This window comes from Homo sapiens, chromosome 6 (genome assembly GCF_000001405.40).
Source record: "Homo sapiens chromosome 6, GRCh38.p14 Primary Assembly".
In the NCBI taxonomy this organism is placed as follows: domain Eukaryota; kingdom Metazoa; phylum Chordata; class Mammalia; order Primates; family Hominidae; genus Homo; species Homo sapiens.
Genome location: NC_000006.12, coordinates 33,690,345 through 33,715,430, shown reverse-complemented (window position 1 = coordinate 33,715,430; position 25,086 = coordinate 33,690,345). Strand labels below are relative to the sequence as shown.

At 50.0% G+C, this 25,086-nt stretch overlaps 2 protein-coding genes, 1 long non-coding RNA gene and 1 other non-coding gene across 10 annotated transcripts in view, besides 11 other annotated features; 2 read left to right on the top strand and 2 right to left on the bottom strand.

Moving 5' to 3' along the window:
• Nucleotides 725–1,019: a silencer, noted in NCBI's record as "tiled region #11056; HepG2 Repressive DNase matched - State 8:EnhW, and K562 Repressive non-DNase unmatched - State 20:ReprD". NCBI's record gives its function as "represses a minimal TATA promoter and a strong SV40 promoter by Sharpr-MPRA in HepG2 and K562 cells {active_cell/tissue: HepG2 | K562}" and the evidence as "EXISTENCE:reporter gene assay evidence [ECO:0000049][PMID:27701403]".
• UQCC2 (ubiquinol-cytochrome c reductase complex assembly factor 2) lies at nt 3,731–18,667 on the top strand. The gene is made up of 4 exons (NM_032340.4): nt 3,731–3,882; nt 14,011–14,085; nt 14,918–14,987; nt 17,681–18,667. The coding sequence occupies exons 1-4, from the start codon at nt 3,745–3,747 to the stop codon at nt 17,776–17,778; spliced, it is 381 nt and encodes a 126-aa protein (NP_115716.1). The 5' UTR covers nt 3,731–3,744; the 3' UTR covers nt 17,779–18,667.
• Nucleotides 3,982–5,852, top strand: LOC124901304 (uncharacterized). Of its 2 annotated transcripts, none has more exons than XR_007059548.1 (3): nt 3,982–4,123; nt 4,580–4,736; nt 5,668–5,852. It is a non-coding gene; the product is annotated as an uncharacterized LOC124901304 (long non-coding RNA). The 2 variants fall into 2 exon arrangements; XR_007059549.1 differs by lacking the exon at nt 3,982–4,123 and adding an exon at nt 4,184–4,396.
• Nucleotides 4,162–4,211: an enhancer, noted in NCBI's record as "active region_24368". NCBI's record gives its function as "activates an Ori minimal core promoter by ATAC-STARR-seq in GM12878 lymphoblastoid cells {active_cell/tissue: GM12878}" and the evidence as "EXISTENCE:reporter gene assay evidence [ECO:0000049][PMID:35858748]".
• Nucleotides 4,238–5,135: an enhancer, noted in NCBI's record as "NANOG-H3K27ac-H3K4me1 hESC enhancer chr6:33678073-33678970 (GRCh37/hg19 assembly coordinates)". NCBI's record gives its function as "activates a minimal SCP1, AML or CMV promoter by ChIP-STARR-seq in naive H9 embryonic stem cells {active_cell/tissue: H9 hESC(naive)}" and the evidence as "EXISTENCE:reporter gene assay evidence [ECO:0000049][PMID:30033119]".
• Nucleotides 10,544–11,043: an enhancer, noted in NCBI's record as "H3K4me1 hESC enhancer chr6:33672165-33672664 (GRCh37/hg19 assembly coordinates)". NCBI's record gives its function as "activates a minimal SCP1, AML or CMV promoter by ChIP-STARR-seq in primed H9 embryonic stem cells {active_cell/tissue: H9 hESC(primed)}" and the evidence as "EXISTENCE:reporter gene assay evidence [ECO:0000049][PMID:30033119]".
• Nucleotides 16,900–17,875: an enhancer, noted in NCBI's record as "H3K27ac-H3K4me1 hESC enhancer chr6:33665333-33666308 (GRCh37/hg19 assembly coordinates)". NCBI's record gives its function as "activates a minimal SCP1, AML or CMV promoter by ChIP-STARR-seq in naive H9 embryonic stem cells {active_cell/tissue: H9 hESC(naive)}" and the evidence as "EXISTENCE:reporter gene assay evidence [ECO:0000049][PMID:30033119]".
• Nucleotides 17,197–17,303, bottom strand: MIR3934 (microRNA 3934). Its single transcript, NR_037498.1, has one exon. It is a non-coding gene; the product is annotated as a microRNA 3934 (primary transcript).
• Nucleotides 18,869–25,086, bottom strand: part of ITPR3 (inositol 1,4,5-trisphosphate receptor type 3) — a 75,241-nt gene continuing 69,023 nt past the window's right edge. For all 6 annotated transcript variants that reach the window (NM_002224.4, XM_047418731.1, XM_047418732.1 and 3 more), the window contains 7 exons: nt 24,322–24,514; nt 23,712–23,816; nt 23,503–23,630; nt 22,538–22,703; nt 21,726–21,886; nt 20,346–20,507; nt 18,869–19,719 (listed from right to left, as the gene is read on the bottom strand). In NM_002224.4, coding sequence (NP_002215.2) covers nt 19,651–19,719; nt 20,346–20,507; nt 21,726–21,886; nt 22,538–22,703; nt 23,503–23,630; nt 23,712–23,816; nt 24,322–24,514 — 984 coding nt within the window. In that variant the 3' untranslated portion in view covers nt 18,869–19,650. The remainder of the gene's footprint in view (nt 19,720–20,345; nt 20,508–21,725; nt 21,887–22,537; nt 22,704–23,502; nt 23,631–23,711; nt 23,817–24,321; nt 24,515–25,086) is intronic.
• Nucleotides 19,772–20,971: an enhancer, noted in NCBI's record as "CDK7 strongly-dependent group 2 enhancer chr6:33662237-33663436 (GRCh37/hg19 assembly coordinates)". NCBI's record gives its function as "activates an origin of replication core promoter dependent on BRD2, BRD4, P300/CBP, MED14 and CDK7 cofactors, with strong dependence on CDK7, by STARR-seq in HCT116 cells {active_cell/tissue: HCT116}" and the evidence as "EXISTENCE:reporter gene assay evidence [ECO:0000049][PMID:35650434]".
• Nucleotides 21,784–22,761: an enhancer, noted in NCBI's record as "H3K27ac-H3K4me1 hESC enhancer chr6:33660447-33661424 (GRCh37/hg19 assembly coordinates)". NCBI's record gives its function as "activates a minimal SCP1, AML or CMV promoter by ChIP-STARR-seq in primed H9 embryonic stem cells {active_cell/tissue: H9 hESC(primed)}" and the evidence as "EXISTENCE:reporter gene assay evidence [ECO:0000049][PMID:30033119]".
• Nucleotides 21,784–22,767: a biological region, named in NCBI's record as "H3K27ac-H3K4me1 hESC enhancer GRCh37_chr6:33660447-33661424".
• Nucleotides 22,598–22,767: an enhancer, noted in NCBI's record as "active region_24367". NCBI's record gives its function as "activates an Ori minimal core promoter by ATAC-STARR-seq in GM12878 lymphoblastoid cells {active_cell/tissue: GM12878}" and the evidence as "EXISTENCE:reporter gene assay evidence [ECO:0000049][PMID:35858748]".
• Nucleotides 22,762–23,737: an enhancer, noted in NCBI's record as "H3K27ac-H3K4me1 hESC enhancer chr6:33659471-33660446 (GRCh37/hg19 assembly coordinates)". NCBI's record gives its function as "activates a minimal SCP1, AML or CMV promoter by ChIP-STARR-seq in naive H9 embryonic stem cells {active_cell/tissue: H9 hESC(naive)}" and the evidence as "EXISTENCE:reporter gene assay evidence [ECO:0000049][PMID:30033119]".
• Nucleotides 23,738–24,715: an enhancer, noted in NCBI's record as "H3K4me1 hESC enhancer chr6:33658493-33659470 (GRCh37/hg19 assembly coordinates)". NCBI's record gives its function as "activates a minimal SCP1, AML or CMV promoter by ChIP-STARR-seq in naive H9 embryonic stem cells {active_cell/tissue: H9 hESC(naive)}" and the evidence as "EXISTENCE:reporter gene assay evidence [ECO:0000049][PMID:30033119]".

The window sequence follows — 25,086 nt, the reverse complement described above, 5'->3', positions numbered from 1 at the left end:
CTGTCTTGTCTACCACATGACAGGAACTCAGAGCCAGCTTCATGGGTGTGTGGCCTGCACAGTCGCCCAGGGCCCTGCACTCAGAAGGGGCTACATTTGCTTTAATGCTCTGCTGTTATTGTCTTGAAATTCTTAACAATTTTTTTAGAGACAAGGTCTCACTCTGTCACCCAGGCTAGAGTGCAGTGGTGTAATCACAGCTCACTACAGCCTCTGACTCCTAGGTTCAAAGCAGTCAAGCCATCCTCCCACACAGCTAAGACTATAGGTGTGCACCACCACATTCAGCTAATTTTTTAAATTTTTGGGGAGATGCGGGTCTCGCTATGTGGCCCAGGCTGGTCTCGAACTCCTGGGCTCAAGTGATCCTCCCGCCTCCAAGTAGCTGTGATTATAGGCACAAGCCACCACGCCCGGCCTTAACAATTTTTTAACAAAGGGCTTTACATTTTCATTTTGCACTGGGCCCCAGAAAATTATACTGATAGAGTGATCAGGGCTATAGATCAGTGAGTAAGTGAATGAATGAATGAATGAATGAATGAATGAATGAGCAAGCCTACATTCCAAACAGGTCTCTCAGACTCCATAACCCTACTACTTAACTACCATGCCAAACAACCTCCATATGGAGGAAGAGAGGTGGGCAGGGCAGTCAGAACCAGGGACAACCACAGCCTGACGGAGAAGCTAGGGTACAGGGGAAGGGAGCACCTTAGGAGGAAGCATCTGTTTGCGCTTCCTCTGGAGCCCAGCATTCTTCTCAACCTCTCATTGTCCTTGTACCTCAAGCAGCATGAAAACCATTTGCTGCCACCTAATGTTACTTTTTGGTTGCCTAAGACAGAGGGACCTTGGCTCTGCCTCCTGGGACAGATGTGGACCAGTCAGGTGCTCTTCAAAGCCACGGCTATGACAGCGCCTCGGGGCACCCAGCACAGCCCTAGGTGCCTGGACCTTGGTAAGTAAATAGATACAATCCTTGCCCTTTGTGCCTTAGGGGTGTCATCAAAACTACATGGCTATGAGGTGAGGATGGAGCAAGGAGGGACTGCTGGGCTGGGAACCTGGTGGGGTTAATCAGGGGAGCTTTCTGGAGAAGGTGCCCTTGGGCGCCTCATTTTCCACTCCCCCTGAACTCTCCTTACCTCAGCGGGCATCACACATTCTGGTCCCCAGAGGTTTTCCTTTAATGGTCTTGACTCCTAACATCTTCGGAACAGTTAAAGCCATTCCAGTTAAAATCACCCATTGATCTTTCCTCAAATTAAACTCCTCCCTCTCTTTCCCATTGCCACCCCAGGCCTGCCTCTGGCTGTTCTTGGAGCCATCCTTGATCTTCTCCCACTCTCCCCTGAACAGCAGACATCTGTTTCTCCAAACTCTCTAGCATTGTCTAACACTTCAGTTAAAGCTCTCGTCATCTGTAACTTTGTGTCCTGGTTATGTACACATTCCCAGACTTGGCCATCAACTTCTTGAAGGCAGGACTCTCCTAGATTCACCTTTAAAATGTAGGTAAGGCAAGAAGGAAAAGGTTTGGAGGAAGCAAAGTTTTGTACACATTGGATGGTCTTGGCTAAATACAGGATAGTGGAGATATACGGGGGGCTGAGGCTTTCTTATGAAAAATGCAGATGGTGGGACAGTCTTTTGAGAACAAAAATTAGTCCACATGGTGATGTAGCTAGAGACATATAAGAGAAGACTTGATAAAACAAACACATTTTAATGGGAGAAAATATTCTGAAATCACATAGCTGTGAAGGGAGTAATATCTGGAATATACAGAGAACTCCTAAAACTCAATAACAACAACAACAAAAAAAAAACCCGATTAAAAACAGGTAAAGGACTTGAATAGATATTTCTCTGAAGATATACAAATGGCTGATAAGCACATAAAAAGATACTCAATATCACTAATCATTAGACAAATGCAAGTCAAAGCTACATTGAGATACAGCCCTCACCCATTATGATGGTTACTATCAAAAAACCAGAAAATAACAAATGTTGGTAAGGATGTGGAGAAATTGGAACCCTTGTGCACCGGTGGTGGGAGTGCAAAATGGTGCAGCTGCTGTGGAAGACAGTATGGCAGTTCCTCAAAAAACTTAAAATAGAATTACCATATGATCCAGCAATTCCGCTTCTGGGTATATACCAAAAGAATTGAAAGCAAGGTCTTGAGATGTCTGTACATCCATGTTCATAGCAGCATTATTCACAAGAGCTAAAACATGGAGGCAACCTAAGTGTCTATCAATGGATGTGTAAACAAAATGTGGTATATACATGCAACGGAATATTACTCAGCCTTAAAAAGGAAGGAAATTCTGACATATGCTACAAAATGAATGAACCTTGAAGTGAAAATATTATGCTAAGCAAAATAAGCCAGTTGCAAAAATACTGCAGGATTCCACTTACATGAGGTACCTAGAGTAGTCAAAATCATACAGACAAAATAGAATGGTCGTTGCCAGGGGCTGGGGGGAGAGGGGGAAATGGGGATTTATTGTTTAATGAGTATGGAGTTTCAGTTTTACAAGAGTTACGGAGATGGTGCGATGGCTGCACAACATTATTCAGTGCTATTTCATACCCATGAACTGTACACTTAAAAATGGCTGGCTGGGCACCGTGGCTCACGCCTGTAATCCCAGCATTTTGGGAGGCCGAGGCAGGTGGATCGCCTGAGGTCAGGAGTTCGAGATCAGCCTGGCCAACATGGTAAAACCCTGTCCCTACTAAAAATACAAAACATAGCCAGGCATGATGGCGGGCGCCTGTAGTCCCAGCTACTTGGGAGGCTGAGGCAGGAGAATCACTTGAACCCGGGAGGCGGAGGTTGCGCCATTCACTGAACACCAGCCTGGGCGACAGAGCCACAGAGCAAGACTCCATCTCAAAATAAATAAATAAATAAATAAAAGGTTAAGGCCAGGTGTGGTGGCTCACACCTGTAATCCCAGCACTTTGGGAGGCCAAGGTGGGAGGATCACTTGAGCCCAGGAGTTTGAGACCAGCATGGGCCACATAGCAAGACCTTGTCTAAAAAAAATGGTTAAGATAGTAAATTTTGTTATGTGTATTTTACCACAATACAAAATAATAAATTGTAAAGAAAAAAAAAGTTTTTCTAGTCTGAATCAACACAGTTGGCATTGCTCATGCTAGAAAACCTGCGCCTCCCAGAGAAAAATGTCTGGCTTATGAGGGGTAGGAAGGGGGGAACAGAAGGGATACTAACAGGGACTGGGCAGAGAAGAACAAGAACTAGGAAGCACTAAAGAAGGAATTGAGGCCGAGTACCAAGGGATAGTGACAGGTACGGGGGCACCCACGAACAACGTTCAAACATATTTTCATCCAGTAACCTGTATTTACATGCAAATATATTGGTTTATGCAAAACAGCGGAGGCCTCGGGGGAGGGTTTTTTAGTCTCAAGCTTGTGCAGTCATTGAAAAAGAGACGCAAAGCTGTCTCTGGGGTACTCCACGTCCGCCTTGCCCCTGGGAGCTGGGCCGGTTCCAGGAGGACGAAGACTGAATTAGCTCGGCTTGCAGAGAAAGGCGAGCAGCGCCCCTACACGGAGAGTAGCGGTGCGCCTACAAAGTCGCGCATGCCCACTCCGGCCTCCCGCTCCACTCCTAAGGCAGGCGGCGAGGCTTAGTGCGCAAGCGCCATTCGTCGGCGCCGACTCCTCCCGCTAAGGCGGGAACACGCGGGGCCCAAGATGGCGGCCAGCCGGTACCGGCGTTTTCTTAAGCTCTGTGAGGAATGGCCAGTGGACGAGACCAAACGGGGCCGGGACTTGGGCGCTTACCTGCGACAGCGGGTAGCACAGGCCTTTCGGGAGGGAGAGAATACCCAGGTGACCGGCGGGGAGGCGGCTGGGACGAGGGGAGGAAAGGACGAGGCAGGGGCGGGGCCAACGAGCGCGCTAGCAGGGGGATCTGCGCATGCGCGCGCCCTCTTTCCAGGCAGCACGTGAGCGCGGACCCCCTTTTTCCCCCAGGGAGCTACTGATAGCGACGCCCGTTGTATTCAGCGCTCTCCCCCGGCTGCACCTTGGAATTGCCGAAGAAGCTTTTTTTAAACTCCAGATGGGCCGGGTGCGGCGGTTCACACCTATAATTCCAGCACTCTTTGAGAGGCCGAGGCGGGAGGATCGCTTGAGCCCAGGATGACCTCCTGGGCAACATAGTGGGACTCCGTCTCTACAAATCAAAAAACAAACAAAAACTTCAAATGCAGAATCTCTAGGGGTGGGGTCTTGACCTCAGAGTTTTAAAAGCTCTCCAGGTGATTCAAGGTGCAGAGAGAGTTGAGACCCACACCACCAGTGGCAGCTGGTGACAGCCTCAGCTTTTTGCTTCCTTGTCACGGTAGCATTACCTCATTATTTCGCAGTGTTGTGTATTGACTGAGCTAATCCCCAGTTAACTCTGCAGGTCCCCGCTAAGCGTTTGCGTTCTTCCTGAGCCCCTGTAAGCCTGTGCAGCAGGTTTGGGTCCTCAGCTCACGCAGCTGTGTGTGAGTAGTAGGCCTATGTTCTTGCTTTCCTCCAGGTTGGCGCTGCAGCTCTGGGATTCATTCATTCATATAGCTCGTATTTATTGAGCACCTACCATATGCCTGGAACGGTGCTAGGGAAACAGCAGTGTTAAACAGGTGAAGTCCTGCCCGCATGAAGTTTTACATTGTAGTTCAGGACACAATAAGCAGGTAAGTGTACGTAAGACAGATAAGTACTGTGATCGATAGAAAATAGGGTAGCGTGATAAAAGGGTAATGTTATTAGTGGGGCCTTTCTGAGGAGATGACACATAGGTGAGACCTAAGGCAAGAGGATGAGCCAGCCATGTACACTTGGCGGGAAGGACATTCCAGACACTGCACATGTCCAGAGGCAGGAGGCAGATTGACATGTTTGAGGACAGAAAGAAAGCCAGAATGGCTGCAGGGTAGTAAGTAAGGTGGAGTTTGCTAAGGTGAAGGTCCGGAGCCAGGCACAGTAGGATATTATCTGTTCTGATTAGCTTTAGACCTCATTATAAGGCCAGTGAGAAGTCACTGGGGATGTTTAGTGAGGGGACTGATGTGCCCTAATTTACTTTTTAAAAGACTATTCTGGTTGTATGTGGTGAGTGGGCTATAGGGGGCAATAACAAAAAAAGAGGCTGGAGAGAAGCCGATTATGGTACTATAAGCGACAGATGGTGGGGGGTTGGATGAGGACGGCAGCACAGAAGATGGAAGTGGTTGGATTCAGGTTATGCGCAGGTTGAGTCAGCAGGACTTGCTGATATATGGGATGTGGGATAAAGGAAAAGAGAGGAACCAAAGATAGCACCTAGATATTTTTTGGCCTGGGCATCTAGGTCTAAGATGGTGCCATTTACTGAGGTAGGAATAGGTGAAGTGTAGGAAGAATATCTCGAGTTCGGTGTTAAGCAGGTTAAACCTGAGATGCCAAGTACACTGATTTCCAAGTGGCAATGTCAAGTAGGCAGTGCTATATTTGAGCCTGGGGCTCGGGCAAGAGACCAGAAATGAAATGAGATAATGAGATGCATATACACACAGTCTGAAGAAATGACTTGTGAAACTTGGCCAAGACTTGTTACAGAAGGAACATGGGTTTTTTTTTTTTCAGCTTAGCCCGAAACAGAGCCAAGCCAGCCCACCTAAAGGAGCAGGAGCACGCCCAGTGGCATCATTGTGACTGTACTGCTGATTGGCTGGCAGCCTGGGGAGTGTCTGGCCCAGGTTATACGATACCCAGGGCCCTCACATTATTCATGGTGGTCTTCACTGGCCCAAAGTGTAAAGATCTTTAAGGCAAGAATCTTATCTAGTCCCAATTCTACAAACCCGTGAACTTTCTAAAGCTGTACTCCCTGCATATTTTTAGTATGAGCTTCCTGAAAATAGAGATGATGCCATTTTTATCTTTCCCTCTCTCCCCTACGAGTGTCTAGCTAGTTCTTGGCCCATAAAAAAACACTCAGTAAATGTCTGAATGGATAAGTAAATAATTGGTTGTGGCTCATGAGACAAAGATAATTTGAATATAGTTTCAGATGTAGCAGAACTAGATGAAGAGAAGTTGTGAAGAGTGAGAAAGGAATATTTGTGTGTCCTGAGTGGTGAGAATTGATTTGAGAGCTTACCATGTTTGGGAAATTGCAGGATCTATGGAGGAAGGCCATAACCTGGCCTTCACCACTGAGGAGCTTACAGTTGAGCAGTCAGCGGCTCCATCCTTGGGGAGGTGAGAGAGCGTAACATTCACTTGCTTGATTGTTAGTGTAAGAGGAGCCAGCAAAGGAGGAAAGAGTTTTCTCTTTCGGAGTTGTCATCACCTAGGGCAATCGTTTCTGATCAGTCAAAGGCCCACACAGGTTTGAGTCCCAGCTGCAGATGCAACTCATGGCTGTGTTAGTGATTCTGTAGCAGCTGATGAATGCATTCCTGGTAGAGTGAACCAGTGCACAATGGCAGCAGGTGCATTACTCAGGACCACTGTTGCGGTACCTCATCCTAATGTCACCTGAGAATGCACCTGGCCTTAGTAAATCTTTGTGGTAATTTTTGAAGGGCGCAATTCCTTGCTGGAATTGAAAACACTATTGTGAGTCACTCCTACTGACACCCCCAGATCATTTATAAAGACCTTGAGAAAGCAAGATGATTCTGGTAGGCTCTTCATTAAACTGGCAGCAGGAGGTGGGGCTTAGATCCAGTTGACTGACTAGTATGGAGCTCCTCCTTGGTTAAGCCGGTTGCCAGAAGACAGAACTGGAGGGGAAAGTAGCTCTGCTCATGCCGTCTTTCCATTTCCGTAGAGGAGAGAGGCAGTCAGTCCTCCTCTCAGCCTCTTGGCTTCCTTCGTCCTAATGATCACCCTGAAAGGTGCACAGTGCACCTTTGCCGGCGTGATCTCATTTAATCCTTAGTACAGCTGAGTGGTAGCCATTACTGTTCCCATTTTACAGATGAGGAAACATCAGAAAAACAAGACAACGCACTGGGGGTTCCGTAGCCATAAGAGACAAGCCAAGTGAGAAACAGACCCAGCCCCTCTGGCCCTAGTGTGCATCGTCTCCTGGGTGCCTGGCCTTTCCTCAGCTGCTGTTCCAAGTTATTGTTAGAACAACCTCTTATTCCATGAACGTCAAACCACTTCCTTCCCCTGGTTGCCCGTTCAAACCTTTTTGGGCCATAGATAGTTTGGGCAGCAAATGGAACTCCCTGTGTTTACCCACCTATTCTTTGCCCCAGCCACTACCAGTCCAGATGGGAAGAAAGATGGTCCTGGGTGGGACACCAGGCGGAGAAAAGCTGGGTTAACTAAAGGGCAAATCAATAATTCATACACAAAACCAGAGTACAAAAACCACTGCCTCCATTTATTCCACCTCAAATTGCCCTCTGGGGAGTCTTGTGGTCCACCCTAAACCCACCAAGTGGGGAGGTGGTGGTGGGAGCGGGAACACATGTAACTCCTCTTACACCCCATATCCTATTGTGTAGTTTTAAAAAGTCAGTGTTTATGGGCTTTGCCAATTTTGAATACAGTTTGTCTAAGAACACGTGTTTCCTACAGCGCTGAGAGCTTAATAAAAGAATTGCAACGTGGGGGAAGGTGGCACAACAAATGTAATTGTTGACCTAACAACAGAGAAAGGAGCAGATCTTTCTAATGAGTTCATTAGGTGCTTCCTAAAAGATCCCGGACTGCACACCAGCACCCACTTATGTAGCACAAGGTGCAACTCCGAGGGGCGTCCTAGAAGAGCTGCTGCTCTTCGCCCACCAGGGAGTTCTAACTGTATTGTATGCAAGTTTAAGTATAATAATATTGGCCCAGTTTGAAAGAAGTTAAACTTTTTCTTGGGTTTCTAATAAGGTAAATGGTATTTCCACCTTCTCAGAGGAGAATTCAAAGGTTTTTTTGATTCTGTTTTCTCAGTCATCCATTTGAGGCCTGGTCCTTGGCATTCCTCAGTGTGGCAGGGAGCTAGCTCCCAAGCCACCTGGCATATGCTGGCCACGGTGAAGCCATCTCAACGTTGCTCACCCCCACTTGTGGGCCCCCTGAAGTTATGCTTTTGAAGAGTGTCCTAAGAACAGATTATCCTATTTTTAATTATGTATTGAGCCCATCGAAAACCTGGAGTTGTAAGGAGAATCATCTCTAAGAGGGAATACAAACATCTCCATCTTTTTTTCTCTCCCAATTCTGAATGGCGCCAGTGTGAGCTAGGGTAGTATTCACACCAAGGGGTGGCGTTTATCTCTGCATATGTAAAGCTGCAGTGCTCCACCTGAAGGGATAAATTCTTGGCCACTTCTGGTGGGTCACTACTTTATTCAAAGATGTTTGGGGTCTGCCCATTGCCTCCTGGGCAGGTGGCAGGCAACTTTGTGAGACCTGCAGTGCCTCTGATCCTTGGTCCCAGCCTGTGTTTCCAACCTTGCCTCGCACCACCCTAACATGAGCCCCAGGCTCAGCAAGGGTGTCTTCTCATGGTCTCCCAAACTGGCCATGGTACAAGCAATTCTGATCCTTTGAGACTTAAGTGCGCTGTGGATCACTGCACCCCTACAACCGCAAAAAACCCAAACACAGAGTTTGTCAAGAATTTGGTGGCTTCCCAGGCTCTTGGAGCCCTCCCTGGGTTCCCCTTAAAAGCCCTGTCTGCCTAAAACACTCTTGTCCTGTGCCTCTTCATGCCTCATCCTCCCAGTCATTTCTGGTCCCTGTGTCACTCATGCCCAGGTTGGCACTCCTCACTCTCTGCACTGTCGCTGCAGTGAAACTCAGCCCTTTCCTGCCACACCTCCCCATCAGCACAGCCAGGTGCCCAACTCCCACCTCGGGTCTCGTGCAGCGGCCCGTGCTCCGCAGATCTGGCTCTCACTTACACATTGCCCCGGGCAGGGTTGGTTTCTAATTCATGTGTATCTTGTCTCTGTAGTGTGCCTGCCAGCTTCTCCACAGCTGGCCTGGGTCGTCGTCTTTGTGGCCCCTCACCGTCCCCTAGTGGAGCACTCTTTCTATAGTAGGTGCTCAAGAAATACATTTTCAACTCAATTGAAGGGAATAGGCTCCCATAACAGAATGAACTCATTTCAGAAGTTCATTACCAAGTCTTGAAAACCTTTTTTTATAGATCCTCCTGGACCGAATCCAGCTCTACCTTAATTAGCAAAGCAATTTGCAACACCCTTTCCCAAAAGTGCTTATGCGTCCCTTTGTGTGACTAGAATAGGGGCCGCTGTACCAATTGCTGTCACCACCCAAAATTCAATTTGCAAAATCGAAATCAGTGCCTGCAGCACTGATGTAGATTTGTATGTATAAAAGTTTAATATGGTAAAGAGAAATTTACTGACGACTGAACAGGGGAAATGCAAAAGGAGCAAAAATAGAGCTATAAAGGACACTCGTCAGATGAACATCTATTTTATTCACATTTGGGGAGCAGTGCTGAATTTTTCATAATGTCCCCACTGCTGCCTTTTCAAACCCAGCACTGCTATTAGTCCTAAAACGTCTGTGATCTCATTAGGTGTGAATGCAAAATCAGGTAATTTAAAGCATGTATTAAGAATATTTCTAAAAATGCACCGTCCATTTCATCAGAAAAACTGCATTTCAGAGCTCAGGAATGTTAGTGCTGGAGTCTGTGAATAAAGTGTAAGCTATAGGAACGTGGTGAGGCTTCTGGAATTCGACAGATGTCTCCACTGACATCCTTTTAAGTAGTAAGCATGACTTTTTTAATTGCTGAGCTTGAGTTATCTGTGGCTAGGAACCCAGCATTGACCAAGGCTTCATCACTCCTCAAGCAGTAAGAACTTGGCTAGAAATGGGCATGTCTCAAACTCCTGTCACCTCCACTGAGCTGCTTTTACAGCCTCAGTTAGACACCTTCTGACCTCAGACGGGAAACTGGATGGCAAGTCTGTTTTAGGACTCAGGTGTTTGGTTTTCTTTCTCAGGTTACAGCTGAGTCCAGGAATTCTGGGAACTCTCTAGGAGACTGTCTCTTTCACACAGGAAGTTTCAGAAGTGAGAGTGGTCGGGTGCGGTGGCTCAAGCCTGTAATCCCAGCACTTTGGGAGGCCGAGGTGGGCGGATCACAAGGTCAGGAGATTGAGACCATCCTGGCTAACACGGTGAAACCCCATCTCTACTAAAAATACAAAAAATTAGCCAGGCGTGGTAGCGGGCGCCTATAGTTCCAGCTACTTGGGAGGCTGAGGCAGGAGAATGGCATGAACCCGGGAGGCGGAGCTTGCAGTGAGCCAAGATTGTGCCAGTGCACTCCAGCCTGGGCGACAGAGTGAGACTCCATCTAAAAAAAAAAAAAAAAAGAAGTGAGAGTACCTGAGGGTCACTTTGCTTTTTGCACTTAGACTTTGTACATTTTGCTCTTATAGGAGCAGCACTCTGCAAGGGTGACCCGCCCCCCATGCCCCTCCTGTCTGTCCTGCTGCTCATCAGGGATGGGACTACGTGGCAAGGAAGGACAGCACCTTATACCACACCTGCTTGAGGGTGTGATACAAGGTTGCTGAGCAACCTACTGGTGACTTCTCACTGCTAGAGAAGTTGGAGCAGGAAGGGAACTTGAGTTGAAAGGTATTTGAGGGTGGGGATCTGGTCAGAATGCAGGTTTATCAGGAAGCAGTGTTAGGAGCCCAGGAGAGAGGCAGAGGCTATGGGAGGAAGGCAGATCAGCTTGTGGACTCCTTTCCTAAGAGCTTGGTTGGGAAGGTGGTGGGGATGGTGGCAGGACGGGAAGGTCCAGATAAGCGGCCATCAGGTGAAGACCAGGTACAGCAAACAGCTGCTCTCTCGGCAGACCATGGAGAGCTCAGTGACTGCTGAGAGCCACCAGGGTCAGTCAGGAGTGAAGCCTCAGCAGTTTTTCATCCTTCCTCACTTCCGTTTCCAGCGCCACCCTCGGCAGTGCACACCAGCCATGCTGATCCACTGGTAACATGCTGACCCATTCCCTGGGCACGGGCTCCACCTGGTCCTGTGCCTGGAGCACCCCACTCCCTTGCCGGTACATGCGCCCATCCTCAGCCACTCATTGTCCAGCACTTCCTGCCTGGCCCCATAGGCCCATAGCACCTTGTACATGCCCCTTCATTCCACTCCCACCAGGGTGGTTCTGAACTGTTCTGTCCTTTCCCCTCTTATTTTATGAGACAGGGGCCTGTGTTTACTACAACTCTTTACTACTAATAACTGTGAGAAAAACTAATCGCTCACATTTATCGGCGTTCCAGGCCCGGAATTCAGAGCAGCCCAAGCGTCACCTCATTTATCCTCACACCACCGGGGACGTAGGGGCTATTATTATATTTTCTTTTAAAAGAAAGGTTAAGTTGGCCAGTATGCTTTAAAAATGTTCAGTGCATGAAAGACAAAGGCCGAGGAACGGTCCCGGATTAAAGGAGACTAAAAGATACATGACTGTTAAATGCAGCAGGACATCCTGTTTTTCCATAGATTATTATTGAGACAATTGACAGAATTGGAATATGGACTGTGCATTAGATAATAGTGTTGTATCGGTGTTAAGTGGCCTGAATTTGATCATTGAACTGTGGTTATATAAGAGAATGTTCTTGTTCTTAGGAAATGCACACTGAAATATTATGGGGTGAAGGGGCATTATGCTCCTACTTTCAAGTGGATCAGAAGAAGGATATGTATGTACAGATACAGAGAAAGATAAACTGTGGCAACTTTTTTTTTTTTTAAGTGTATTTCATGGGGAAGAGTGAGTGGTTTGCCTGACATCACATAGCTGATAAGGGATGGTGCCAGGAGTCAACCCAGGCAGTTTGACTCCCCTGCTCCCTACAGCCTTGGAGATACTCATTCACCCAAGCGTCCCCTGCTCATAGATGGGCCAATCATGCTATAGGGTCTCGATGAATGTCTGTTAAATTTATAAGTGAGCACACTTTGGGAGGCCGAGGTGGGCAAATCACAAGGTCAGGAGTTCGAGACCAGCCTGGCCAACATGGTGAAAGCCTGTCTCTGCTAAAAATACACAAAATTAGCTGGGCGTAGTGGTGGGTACCTGTAATCCCAGCTACTTGGGAGGCTGAAGCAGGAGAATCACTTGAACCCAGGAGGGGAGTTTGCAGTGAGCCGAGATCACGCCATTGCACTCCAGCGTTAGCTCTTGGCTGTGCGTGCCCTGCTGAAGAAATGTTCCAGATGTGTTCGCCCAGATGTGTGCAGAATTCCATTCTAATGGGACTTTCCCTGGACAAGCTGACCAGCAGCAGGGAGACCACAGCCTCATATTTTCCATTCATTCTGTCCACTCAGATAATGACTTTATTATTCAGCAAACGCTGGCCACCTCCTCAGGCCATAATCCTTCCTCTTCTGATGTATCTGGGTGTACATTCTCATGATGAGTAGCCTGAACGCAGGAATGGGTCAGGTAGAACTAAATGATGGATTGTCTTTTTTGTTTGCTGTAAAGTAGGGACCTCATTTGACATGCACAGAGAGGCAGCAGTGGAGCTGCCTATTAAACCACTTTACTACTGATTTATTTATGCTCTGCCTTCTCCAAGGAAGGATTTAAGTTAGGAAAAAATCCATCATTTGAATTCTGGGGGAAAAAATATAAAAGAGAAAGTTTTGTTCTGGGGAGCTTTTCAAAATTCTTGGCAGAAAAATATAAAGAACTATACATAAATAATAGGAAGGACAGAGTAAAGGGAAAGTTAGAAGAGGTGCAAGAGAAAAGACCACACCTCCTCTGTATGCTGCCTGTCTCCCTGAGAAGGTCCAGCAGGGGCACTGCTGTCTCTGGCACCAGAGAATTGACTTACATCACCCTTTCTATGGCAAGGCCTCAGTGTTCTGGGCCATCTCCTTTCTAGCAGGACCTAACTGTGGTCCTGGCTTGGTTCTCCTCAGTTTACACATTTTATCTTAAATGTTGCCTTCTTCATGTTTCTTTCCTTCTTGTAGAGTTTCAGCAGCTCCCCACTTATCATAGATTGAGAACTCAGATGATTTTTTTTTTTTTTGCCTTTGCTAAAAGAATCTGTTGGTCTGAGGCCGGGCATGGTGGCTCATGCCTGTAACCCCAACACTCTGGGAGGCTGAGGCAGGTGGATCGCTTGAGGTCAGGAGTTCGAAACCAGCCTGGCCAGCATGGTGAAACCCTGTCTCTACTAAAAAATACAAAAATTAGCTGGGTGTGGTGGCACATGCCTTTAATCCCAGTTACTCAGGAGGCTGAGGCTGGAGAATTGCTTGAACCCAGGAGGCGGAGGTTGCAGTGAGCCAAGATTGCGCCACTGCACTCCAGCCTGGGCAATAGAGTGAGAGACTGTCTCAAAAAAAACAAAAGAATCTACTGGTCTGGCCTGAAGCATCCCACAGGATTCCTGCCTCCTCTTCCTTGCTGACGGCATCTCCTCCCCCAGGAAGGCCTGCCCTTCTCCCTTCTGCTTGCTGACCTTCTGCTTGCTGACCTTCTGCTGTGCTTCCTTCAGAACCTAGCATTGTCTCACTTCCATCATGCACTGACCACTTGAGCATGCGGGGACTCCCCCACTGAGTCCCTGTAGCCCACTCTGCCCAGCACCCCCTTTGTTAGGCACGCCTTTCCAACCTTACATTTCTATTGTGGCATCTCCCACTGCAGCTGGTGTCGTGGCTCACAAGTCACAGATGCTCAACAAATGCTTGTTTGCTGATTAATTGATCTGATTTTTCTGTAGGTTGGGGAGTTGATGAGGCAGAGCTATGCCTCCAAAAAGTAGTTTCTAATAGCAGAGCTGTAGTCCAGGTTTGCTTCCCGCAGAGTGGAGAAGCCAGTGCTAGCTGCAGGCCTGCTTCATGTGAACGCTTTATTAAGTATGGTCTTTCCTCAAGGTACAGACACTGTGGGAGGCAGGACTCCTTTGCTCACCTCCTTTGGGATTCTTTGCTTTTCAGGTTGCAGAGCCTGAGGCCTGTGATCAGATGTACGAGAGCTTAGCGCGACTCCATTCAAACTACTACAAACACAAGGTGAGTGGGCCACAGTCTTTTATATACCCAGCTTTCTGACGGGACAACTAATAAGAATGAGTGAAAATCTGATTAGGTAATGTTTTGTAAAGACTTGGCTTTGCTGCGTTCAAATGAAACCAGTAATTTCAACCAAGCCAACAGAGGTGCCTGGTAGAGGCTTTTAGGCCACCTAAATAAAAGCTATTTAAAATTGTGAATATAGGGAAGAAACAAAACCAATTATGAATAGAAGCCATGTATTTGATATGCCAGTGTGTGCTCCTGGGAATGTCTGACAGCCATTGGATTTATACCTATTTTCCCATCCACTCTGACGGAACTGACACCTCCCCACATTCTGGTGATAAAGATGGGATGATTGGGAAAGTGCCCTCCTTTTACGGAGCTGGGCCCAACATGATTACTGTCAAATTCCATTTAGAGTGGTTTTTCCCATACTTGAAAAATATGCTCATTAACTCCACAAACATTTGTGGCCATATGCCTATGTGGAAAATTGATTTTTTCTAAATCCTCCCTGCTAACATGTGATCCATGAGCAGCAGCATGGGCATCACCTGGGAACTGGTTAGAAATGCAGAATCAGGGGCCCCACCCATACCTGCGTTTTCCAGGGAGGACTCACGGGTACATTATAGTTGGAGCTGCCTCCTGGAGACTGTACTGGTTCTTGCGAGGCCAAGTCTTGACCTCGAGGTGGCGCTGCTCTTCTCCTTGCTAGGCCTCCTGGCCTCTGGTTGCCCAGGGCCTAGGTGAAATGCAGTTAGAGAGCAGGGCTTGTGTGCTGATCTCTCCCCTCCCTTCACTTCCTTTCTGCCCCGGTGACCAGTACCCTCGCCCCAGAGACACCAGCTTCAGTGGCCTGTCGTTGGAAGAGTACAAGCTGATCCTGTCCACAGGTAATGAAAGCACAGCTGCCTTTTCTCATTGGTTTGCAAATGATTCTGAGTTTGAGTGGCCAAGGGGAATTGTCTAAGAAGACAGTTTTGCTTGATGGAAAGTCTTGTAGAACAGCCCAGAGGAAATTCTGAAGCTACAGGGCGCATGCATTTTGACCATATACTGTGGAGAAGGTCAAAGGCGTTATTTAAAAAAGAAAATCTATCTTTAGGGCTTTTAAATTCAAGGCTGGGCATCAGGGAACAGAGGAATACCTATTTGCCAAATGGAAGTAGTTGAAATCAGGATGGAAGGAAAATAATTTTATTTTTATGGTCTTAAGAGGGCTTTATAAACAATGAAGGTTTTAATTAAAACAAAAAACCATTCAATAAACGTGTTTGGGGATATCCGCCTAAGAGTTATGTGACCCAGGGGACGTGGTCTGTGGGTTAGATATGAGTTTAACTAGGTATGTTTTAGAGTCATTGATAGACTCTGATTATCAAGAAAGGAAACATCCTGCCAAGCCCGTCCTTTCCTTACTTCCCTATCTCCATTGTCCCTAAGGAGGGGGGCCGGAGAGCCAGGGATGAAGTAGGCAGGTACTGGAAAATTACTATTTTTGTTGCCAAGTATATTATATACAAAAATAGGTTAACCTTTTCTGGGAGGGCATGGCCCTGACACATTTCCTTCTGGTATTCTAGAAATGTGTCTTTCCTCTTCTTCTGGCAGCCTTCAGCAACTTAAGTTTTGAGGATTTGGGCTTCTAGAAAACTCTCTTCTGAGATTAAAACCTGGTGGTGTCACCTGCTATTACATGTCAACTCTAACCCTATTTTTATTCCAGTACTCTCTGGGAAACTGTGGTGAAGATATTTTGGCCAGGCAGAATCACTTTATTGGCAATTTTTTTTAATGTGTAAATTTACTCCTATATCCCTGGGTCCGTGTAATTAGCAGCATTGATGCACATTATTGTGAGGGCCCTGGACAGTTTGAGCAAAGTTTGAACTTGAAGTGAGGGCGGAAGTAAGTTCCAGAGGCCCTGCCTCTGCCCTCTGTTTTGTTCACCTCAGGGCAGCCTCTGCAAGTGGAAAACAGGCAGCAACGAAGGCTGGGAGATAGTCCCGCCATTGGTCCGCGCTGCAGCTTGTTCTGGCAGCGAGTTTAGTTCAGGAAATTTGCTGAGAATTTGTTTTCACAGCAAGCCTCATATTTTTGTTGCAAATTGTGTGGCGTAAGCTTACCAAATGTTTCCTCTGACAGGACAAGAAAAGACCTGCAGCACCTTGTAGTGAGAGGCTTTGAGGGCCTGGCAAGTCTGAAATGTGCTGTGTTCTGGGTTATGTGTGTGTCCACCCTGGGATTGGGGTCATGGAAAGCGCCTAAGGGAGGCCTCAGTGTCCACCTGGACACTGGAAACATGGACTTCTGGAAAAGCTCCAGAGCAGGGGCTTTTTTCTGTTACCTTTTTTGGTCAGAAAAGATACTCTTTTTTTCTCCAGTAGTTTTGTTAACGTGAAAATTTAGGCTGGTAAAGCAAAACAATATTATAAGAATATCTAAAATTTAACATGCACGTAAAATTAGATTTCATGGAACATTAGCCCTAGAGACTTTAGACAAATGGTTCCGTACTGGGGGGATGGTTTTGCCCCCCAGGGGACATGTGGCAATGTCTGGAGACATTTTTAGTTGTCACAACTGGTGGTGCGGGCAGCGGTGCTACTGGCATTAGTGGGTAGAGGCCAGGATGCTTTGAAACAGCCTTCAGTGATGCACAGGCCAGCCCACGACGAAAAATTATCTGGCCCAAAGTGTTGGTAGTGCCAAGGCCAAGAAACCCTGCTTTGGTTCCTGGGTGTAGGGACGTGTATGTTCTTAAACAAGAGCCCCTCCCGCCTGCATTGTGGTGGATGATGGCTGCCTTTTCATTGAGTGCGGGCTGTGTGCCAAGCGAGTTACCTCCATGCTTTTCTTTAATCCTTACAACTTTTGAGGTACGTGTGGTTTTTTTTTTCTTACTTTTTCACCTCTCCCCAAGTTGTCTGCAGATGTGTGTTTTTATCTTCATTTTACAGATGAGGAACCCGAAGCGTAGAGGGTTAAGTAATTTGCTTGAGGGGACCCAGAGTGGGAGATGATGGGCTCGGATTCAGGCCCAAGGCCATCCCCCTCCCAGTGCCTGCTCAACTCCACAGCATGTGCTGAGTCCACACACCAGGATTCAAATCCCTGCTCCACTTCCCAGCTGTGCAACCTGAGCAAGTTACTTCACTGCCTCCTGCCTCAGTTTCCACACCTGAAAACTGGGGACAGGAAGGGCTGTGTGGAGCAGGCCAAATTTTGCGATGAAGCATCTGGGTCTGTGGGTTGCACAGCGGACAGCGCAGGGCCATTTCTTTGCCCTCATACGGAGCAGGGCAACGAGCAGCACATCCCGCTTTGATGCCGAGGGTGAGGAGAGGGCAGGAGACCACTGACAGCGTGCTGGGCACAGAGTCTGGCACACAGTGCTCAGTCCCCGCAAGCGGTCACTTCTGTTACCTGTTTGATCTGCTCTTCAGGAGCTGGGTCTCCACCTTTTTCAGGAACACACTGTGTGAAAAGCAAGCCATGCTTGTGTCGGGAAAGCCCAGTGGGTCCAATCTATGTCATCAAGTTTTAGACTTCAGTCCCTCTCTCTTTTTGTCTTCCCCTTTTGCAGACACCTTGGAAGAGCTTAAGGAAATAGATAAAGGCATGTGGAAGAAACTGCAGGAGAAGTTTGCCCCCAAGGGTCCTGAGGAGGATCATAAGGCCTGAGCTCAGGCCTTACCTCGTGCACATACCTAGGTGTGGAGTCTTGTACATTGCCATCGTCAATAAAACTGCCCCAGTTTCCCCTTGACCTTACGGTTTGGGAATCTCCTCTAGCTTTCCCAGAAAGGAAGCCCTTGCTGCTCTAAAGAAAGTTTCAGCCTGAGAAGGGATGGTGATTGAGCTATCTGCTGTGACTGCTGCTCAGGGTAGGGAAATCTCCTGGGGAGAGGAAATGCAGGTTTCCCTCTGGGCCTGATGAGGGTAATGGGGCCTCGGCACAAGGTGCTTCCTGCATTGCCACGGGAGCCCCCGCCCCTCTGGCACGGGTCTGGTGTCTCCTGGCAAGATACTCAGGCTCCCTTTTGTTGTAGGAGCTCCTGGGAGGAAGCCAAAAATAGCAGTAAATACTGAAAAGGGCATCCTGTTGCAAACAGAAAGCAGTAGGGAGGTGTGAGGCCGAGAGAGGCAAAAAGCCTGCTTGGCCCTCATCCCCACTGACTCAGAGAAGGATGGACCTTAGGCCTCTATCCCTGACCTTGCAAAAACCCACATTGCCCAGTTGGCTTAAGGGACAGGGAAGCTATAGACAGGCCTTGGCCAAGCGGGGCCTCAGCTGCAGTTGGCTTCAGCACTGTGGGCAGGTTCTGTAGGTGGCCACAAGTCAGAGGCCCTGCTGGCTGAGGACACACACAGGGTCACCTCATTATTCCATGGAACCTTGGCTCTTACTGATATTGAGCATCCTTCTCTCTGGAACCGTGAGGGACAGGGCTGGGCCCACAGCGGCCCTGGTGGGTACAAAGTGGAAGTGGGTTCTTAACCTCGTCTGTGTCTAGACTCCTCAGGATGTTCTGAAATGCATAAAATAAAATCGACAGGACTGCCGTAGAAACCAGTTATGCCGAAATGCAGTTCTGGGTAGGCAAATCTCAGGGGAGGACCCTTGAGACAGGATGTCACTCAGCGTATCTCCTGAGAGCCTGAGAGGCCAGGCCAGCAGGGAGGGGCTCTTGTTCCTGTCTTCTGCCAGTGTGTCCTGTTAATCCCCACAGCCCCCGGGGGAGTGCAGGAAACACATCCCTTTTTAACGGACTAGATTTCTATTAATTTATTTAAGGCAATTAACATATTAGTTCTCAGGCCAAAGGATTTGTAAAACATTACACCAAAAGGAGAAAAACAAGCGGTCATGAAACAGCCACGCAAGCGCAGCTCAGCCCTTGTTGCCTGGGCGTACAACTCTTCCCCAGGAAGCCTGGGAAGAGGCAGGTCCTGGGAGCAAGATCGTCCATCATGGAGTCACCAGGCCACCTGGAGCCATGCCGGGGGTGGCATGGACACGACAGTGAGGTCTGCACTGGCTACAGCAGATCTGAGGCACGGAGGGAGCTGCACAGCCATGGGCAGGGCTGAGCACAGCACCCTTGAAATAAGTTAAATAACAAAGCCCTAAAATCACTAGTAACAGCATAACTGCCACCTCCCCCAGAGGCCGGCAGCCGCCAAAATGTAGTGCTTGGAGTTAAAGGGGTGACCCCACTCTTAACTACCCACAAGGAGGACTACAAAGAGTTGTCAGTTATTGCTTTAAGGAACAAAGGTCTCTAGGTAGGATTTATCTTCTGCTAAGGCATTAAGGTAAACTGAGTCCCAGTGAACTTTCAAGTCTTTTTAAGGGCTCTAAGCAGGACTGTCAGCTCTGAGGCTCCCCCTCCATGCTCTTCAAAGCCTGGGTGGGTGTCAGGGTGTCTGGCAGAGTGGGAGTGGAGGCTGGCCAGCTGGCTGGGCCACCCAACCCGAGGGAGGGGGCAGTGTTCTTCCCAGTCGCAGTCTCCAGTGATGAGCATCCCCTGTTGGGGCCTTCGGTGGCTCTCCTCAGCGGCTAATGCAGTTCTGGACATCCACAAAGCCTAGGCGTTGCCTGCGTTTCCGCTGCTCCGTCATCTAGGGTTAAGCAGATGCCAACAGGCCTGGTCAGGCCGCCTGGCACCTTCCCTCCATGGGTGCTGTGGAAGAGCTTGGCACCCGTCTTCCCCTGTGGGCCCAGCTGCTATTCGGCACTGGCGGCGGGCCAGGGCCCCTCGGGGTGCTTTAAGGATGTCGATGTCAGCACCAAACCCTTGTTCTCAATTAGCGTGTCACAAACCCTGGATTTGATGCAGCTGGGAAACCAGCCCACTAACAGAGGCTGCCTCATCTTCATGCAGGCACTGCCAGATGCAGAAGAGGATGTCTAGGCAAGAGGGCCTTAAACTCCCCCATCTCCAGTGATGGGGATCCCCTCAAAGGACCTACCTGGCAGCTGTCAGAGGAAGGGGATGAGAGACAGAGGGCCCCACCACCCTGTACTAAAGTTTCCACTTGGCCTTGTCTTTAGCGGCCCAAGGCAGGGGTTGTCAACCCCAGTCTGACTTGCCATGCAGGGGAGAGTGGGTTTGGCACCTGCCTTCTCATCCAGGCCCAGGGCCAGAGGCCAGTGGGGAAGAGGGTGGGTCAGGAAGGATGAAGGCAGGCAGGGACTGCCCAGGGATAGAACCCAGGGTGGGCCTGGGATCAGGCGGGGTGCACACCTGCTCCTTGAGCTCGTTGAGCTGGGCAGTGAGGTGGGACACCAGCTTCATGGTGGAGTTGAGCTTGTCCTGGAGAATCCGAATCTCATTCTGCTCCCCCTCGCCCTCATTGCTGACAAGGGACATGGCCCGCATCCGGGGGAACCAGTCCAGGTTCTTGTTCTGAAAAACATCACCAGTGGGTTAAGCAGGCGTGGGCCCGGCCTAGAAAGGCCTCATTTAGAAAAACAGTAATGTGGGGGGAGGCTTCTGCCACACCCTTAACAAAACTACTCGTCAGGGATGTGTCATGGGAAAATCTGAATTGACCTGGTCCTCCCCGGGGCCAGAGTGAGCTGGCAGTCAACCCTCTTGTCAACCCTCTGCCACCGAGACAGGCTGACTTCCGTTAGGCAGCGTCGGCAGCTGAGTTTGAGTCCTTTGCTGGTATCAGCACCATCTGTTTACTCTCATAACACCCCCTGAGAGGTGGAGGAAGGCCTCTGCACCCAGACAGACCCTGGATCTCCTTCCTTCCTTCCTCCCGCCCGCCTGCCTGACAAGCACGCCCCACGCCCCGGGAAGACGCGAGTCAGACAGATGGCAAATTGAGGGATCAGGAGGCTCCGCTGAGGAGAGCTGGCATCTGACACGTGTCTGGGAGGCAAAGCCACGTTTCCCAGGACAGAGGAGTCGGGGGGGGAGGGGGCACCAAGCAATTCTCAGCTTCCTTGTAGTAAGCTGTGAATTCTCAGACCAACAGATAAACCTGTACACAAAGATCAGTTTGAAATACAGACTAAACGATAAATAATTCCTTCTTTATGATTCATTGCCTTCACTCCATTATTACAGAAATTGGACAGATGACATTTGATTTCTGTAAGTGATTTTTAAAGTTTTTCCAGGCTCCCCTTCAGCCCAGGATCATCTAATTCAGACTTTTTAGGAAGCAGCCTGCCTTCCCACCGAGCTAGAAAACACTCCCTGAGAGCGGCCCACAGATCACTGGCCACGGGCAGGGTCTCCCCAACTCCACCCCTCCTCAGCATCACTGCACGACAGGCCCAGGGATACCACACGTGTTCTTCGGGGCGCATGGGTTTGCTGTGGGATTTTTCCTGACACCCAGAAGTGTGAGGAGGCCCCTCTGCAGCAGCGGCTTCCGTGCAGCCCAGAGCTGCTTCCAGCTGCTGCTCCTCGCCCTGCTGACCTTTCAACAAGTGTCTGCAGCTGTCCGAGCCCCTCTGCCTGGCCTCCTAGGGCCAACAGTCAGATAGGGCCACTCCTCTCCAGGGCCCAGGGTACTCAGAAGCTAAAACCATGAGGCCTCTGGTGCACAGTGATGACTCTAGAATGGCTGGTTTGGGCCCACAGGCCTGGCACAGCCCCTGCTCACACCTTGATCATCTGGGCCACGTAGCTCTCAGGGCCCGTGTAGTCGGTCTTGTTCTTCACGCGGACCAGCACAATGAAGTACAAGTAGTTCCACATGTTGTGCTCCAGCTTGATGTGTTCCTCAAATGACACTGTCTTGTTATCAAACTTGTCCCTCTCCAGACCTGAGGGTGCAGAGGGCGGGAATGAAACCATCAGCCTTCAAGAGCCACTGCAGGGTCACCTGCTGGAGGGGACCCAGCTTCCGGGGGTTGGAGGCATTTGTTCTCGGGATGAGCGCTTCCAACAGCTCGCTCTGGGCTATTTGGGTCACTTCTATTTAAAGCAGCAGCCACTTAGTGGAGATCCTGCCCTGCCGCAGCTGCAGCCCTCCCGCAGCAGCAACCGAGGACTCCAGGAGTAAACGCGAGAATTTCTCGAACTCAGGGGAAGCCCGAATGGCTGAATGAGCGAGGTCCTACAGGCCATACAGGTGACACCTGCCTGAGCCCGAGGTGGCTGGTGAGGGGACTAGCACTTCATTTCAGGGGTAGGAAAAGCACTGGACTGAGACCAGAAGCTCCAGACACTGACTGGGCTCATGTCCTCACCTAGAAACCCCAAGGGTTTACAGGGATGGGCCTGTCCCACTCCTTTCTGACTCCAAGTTCAGGCAGGGTCATGTTCTCCCCAGTTCTGGGATGAGCAAATGCATCAAGTCATCAGCTCCGGGCCAGGGTTCCCCAGGGCAGGAAGGGCCAAACCGCTACTGCCACTGGCATCAGATGACGTTCCAGCCCCGCTGCGGCCTCCACAGAGCAGGAAGCAGCCCTCACCACAGATGAAGCATGTCGTCTTAAGAATCTCCTCCTTCTTCTGCTTCTCACTACGCAGGTCAGCGAAGGTGTCGATGATTACCCCAAAGATGAGGTTCAGCACAATGATGATGACGATGAAGAAGAACAGGAGGTCATAGACCACTCGGGCTGGGAAGAGAGACTCCTGCAGGGGATGAGGCAGGGAGGCTGGGCCCGGTGGTCCCCACATTCACTGGGGCAAGATAGGACTCAGGTTGGGGCCAGGGCTGTGATATTGAGGACCCAGCCCCTAGCAGAAGGAAATGAGGGCCTCTGGCCTGGGGGCCATCAGATGGCAGAGTGGACCCAACCTGGCTCCACAGAGCAAGAATTGCAAGCAGAAGCCCTGAGTTTGGGTTAGGAAAGCGTGGACTCAGGACACGCCGGGGTGGAGGCCTGCAGAAGGAGTCTGGCGGGGAGGTAGGGCTACGAGTCTCGGTGTGTCTCTGCCCCTAACATTGATGAGGGAAAGAGGCAGCTCTGAACACCTCTGCCCACCCTCAGGACGCCTGGCCTCACACATTCCAGAAACCCTCTGTCTGGCCAGGGAGGCGGCCTCTCACTCCCAAGCAACAGGGGAAGGCCTGACATTCGGGAATGTGGCTGCCCAAGCCAAATCATGAGGCCTCCTGATAAAGCTGACTCAGCTCCGCCCTCTGCCCACCTGCTGTGGGCTAGGAAAGCCAGTGGTCACCATCCCTAGCCCTGGGGCAAAGTTTGGTTGCCAAAGTCTTTCCTTATGGAATGGGAGGGTGAGGGGGCAGCTAAGCAGTAATATCATGGAATTGGCCAGGTGTGGAAAGCAGGGAAAAGTGGATACAAGTTCGGGGGAGGGGGTTCAACCCTGAATATCTGACGCGAGGCCAAGGACAGGACTCTCCACAGTTGCTGATCTGGACAGTGGCTTGGGCCCCACAGGTTTGGGAGTGGGCAGGAGTGCTCACATCTTTGGAGGGCTTGCGGAGAATGTCGCCCACGCCACCACCGTTGCGTAGCCCATGGTTCATGACAGTGACGATGCACATCAACAGAGTGTCACAGGCCCGCTCTGTGCTGTCCAGCTCCCTGTCCTCTGCAAGCGGAGAGTGTGCTGAGGCCCGGGCTGCCTGCTCCTCCTACCCCACACAGACTCCTGCACACACACCACCCTCACCTTCCAGGACCTCAGGCACCGAGAGCCCTGAGACACAGTCCATCTTGTCCCCACTGCAGGTGTCCACAAATGCAGCAGCTCCATGTGGCATCCCCAGGGGGCTGGCTGGAGGGGATATGGATGAGATCATCAGGAGGTCCAGTGCCTGGCCTTATCCCCTGGCTCTGTCCCCAGTGTCACATCCTCCAGGAAACCTTCCCTGGTCCTGGATCGCCAGCCCTCCACTGTCCAGCCACAGTGAAGGGTCATCACGCTTCTGCCCCCGACTGGGTTGCACACTAAGGGCAGGGAGGGGTCTCTGTACCCCTAGGCCTGGCACACGGGCAGTTTCTGCAAATACTGGGTTTAACATGAATGACAGTTCAAGGGACTCCAGCCCTCAAGCAAGGGGTTCCTTAGGGGCCAGAGACCCAAGGCTCTCCCACCCACTCAGTGTGTTCCAGAAAAGAGCGAGGCAGACTGGTGTTAGCTAGACGTCCCCAGAAGCCAAGAGGAGAAGCAGACGGGAGCCTGGTGAGGTAAGCGCTGCAGGTCCTGGTCCTGACGCCAGACATTTGTGAGACCCAACCTCATTCCCCACAACCTGCCCAGGAGAGGAAGCCTCCAAGACCTGTGGAGTGGTTGTTGGGCAGCCGGTCGACCTCGAGAATGAAGTCATCCTTGAGGAAGAGGAAGCCGACGATGGAGAAGAGGTAGACCAGGATGAGGGCCAGCAGGGCTGTCAGCAGGATGGAGCGGCCATTGCGGGTCACACTCTTGATGACGTTGAACAGCGTCTCCTCGCGGTAGATGAGGTCAAAGAGCTGCAGGATGGGGTTGAGATAGGGATGGCACCTTGAGGGGCTGGGCCGGCCACTCTCACTGGGGCTGCCACTGGAACCCTGAGGGCTGCCTGGGCTCCAGACAGTTTCCCAAGGCTCCTCCAGGGAGGTCTGCACTTAGTCGTATCCAAGCTGGGTGGGCCTGTCAGGGGAGCTTCTCGAGAAACCTGGAATTCTAAGGTCACAGAAAGGGAGTGGCCCAGGGGAAGGCACGAGGGGTGAAACGGGTGGCTGAATACCAGCCAACTCTTAAAATGTACTTGCTGCATGCCAGGAAACAGTGTAAGTGCTTTCCATGCATTAGCTCATTTCATCTCACAATTATTTTAGAATGCAGGGGCTGTTGTTATCCCCATTTTACAGGTGAGGAAACTGAGGCATGGGGCAGTTAAGAAACTTGCCCAGTTACACAGCTAGTAGTAGCCCAGCTGAGATGCAAAGCCCTGGTCCAGCTCCAGAGTCCAGGCTTGAACCACCACTGTACAGGAGAAAGGGGTCAGATGGCCACCAGGAGTGGCCATCAGGGCCTTGAGGGCCAGGCTTGGGTCAGGCAG

Coding starts and splice junctions, on each gene's coding strand:
- UQCC2 (NM_032340.4), top strand. CDS start 3,745: ATGGCGGCCAGCCGGTACCGGCGTTTTCTTAAGCTCTGTGAGGAATGG. Junction 3,883..14,010: donor GGGAGGGAGAGAATACCCAG/GTGACCGGCGGG, acceptor TTTGCTTTTCAG/GTTGCAGAGCCTGAGGCCTG. Junction 14,988..17,680: donor CAAGCTGATCCTGTCCACAG/GTAATGAAAGCA, acceptor CCCCTTTTGCAG/ACACCTTGGAAGAGCTTAAG.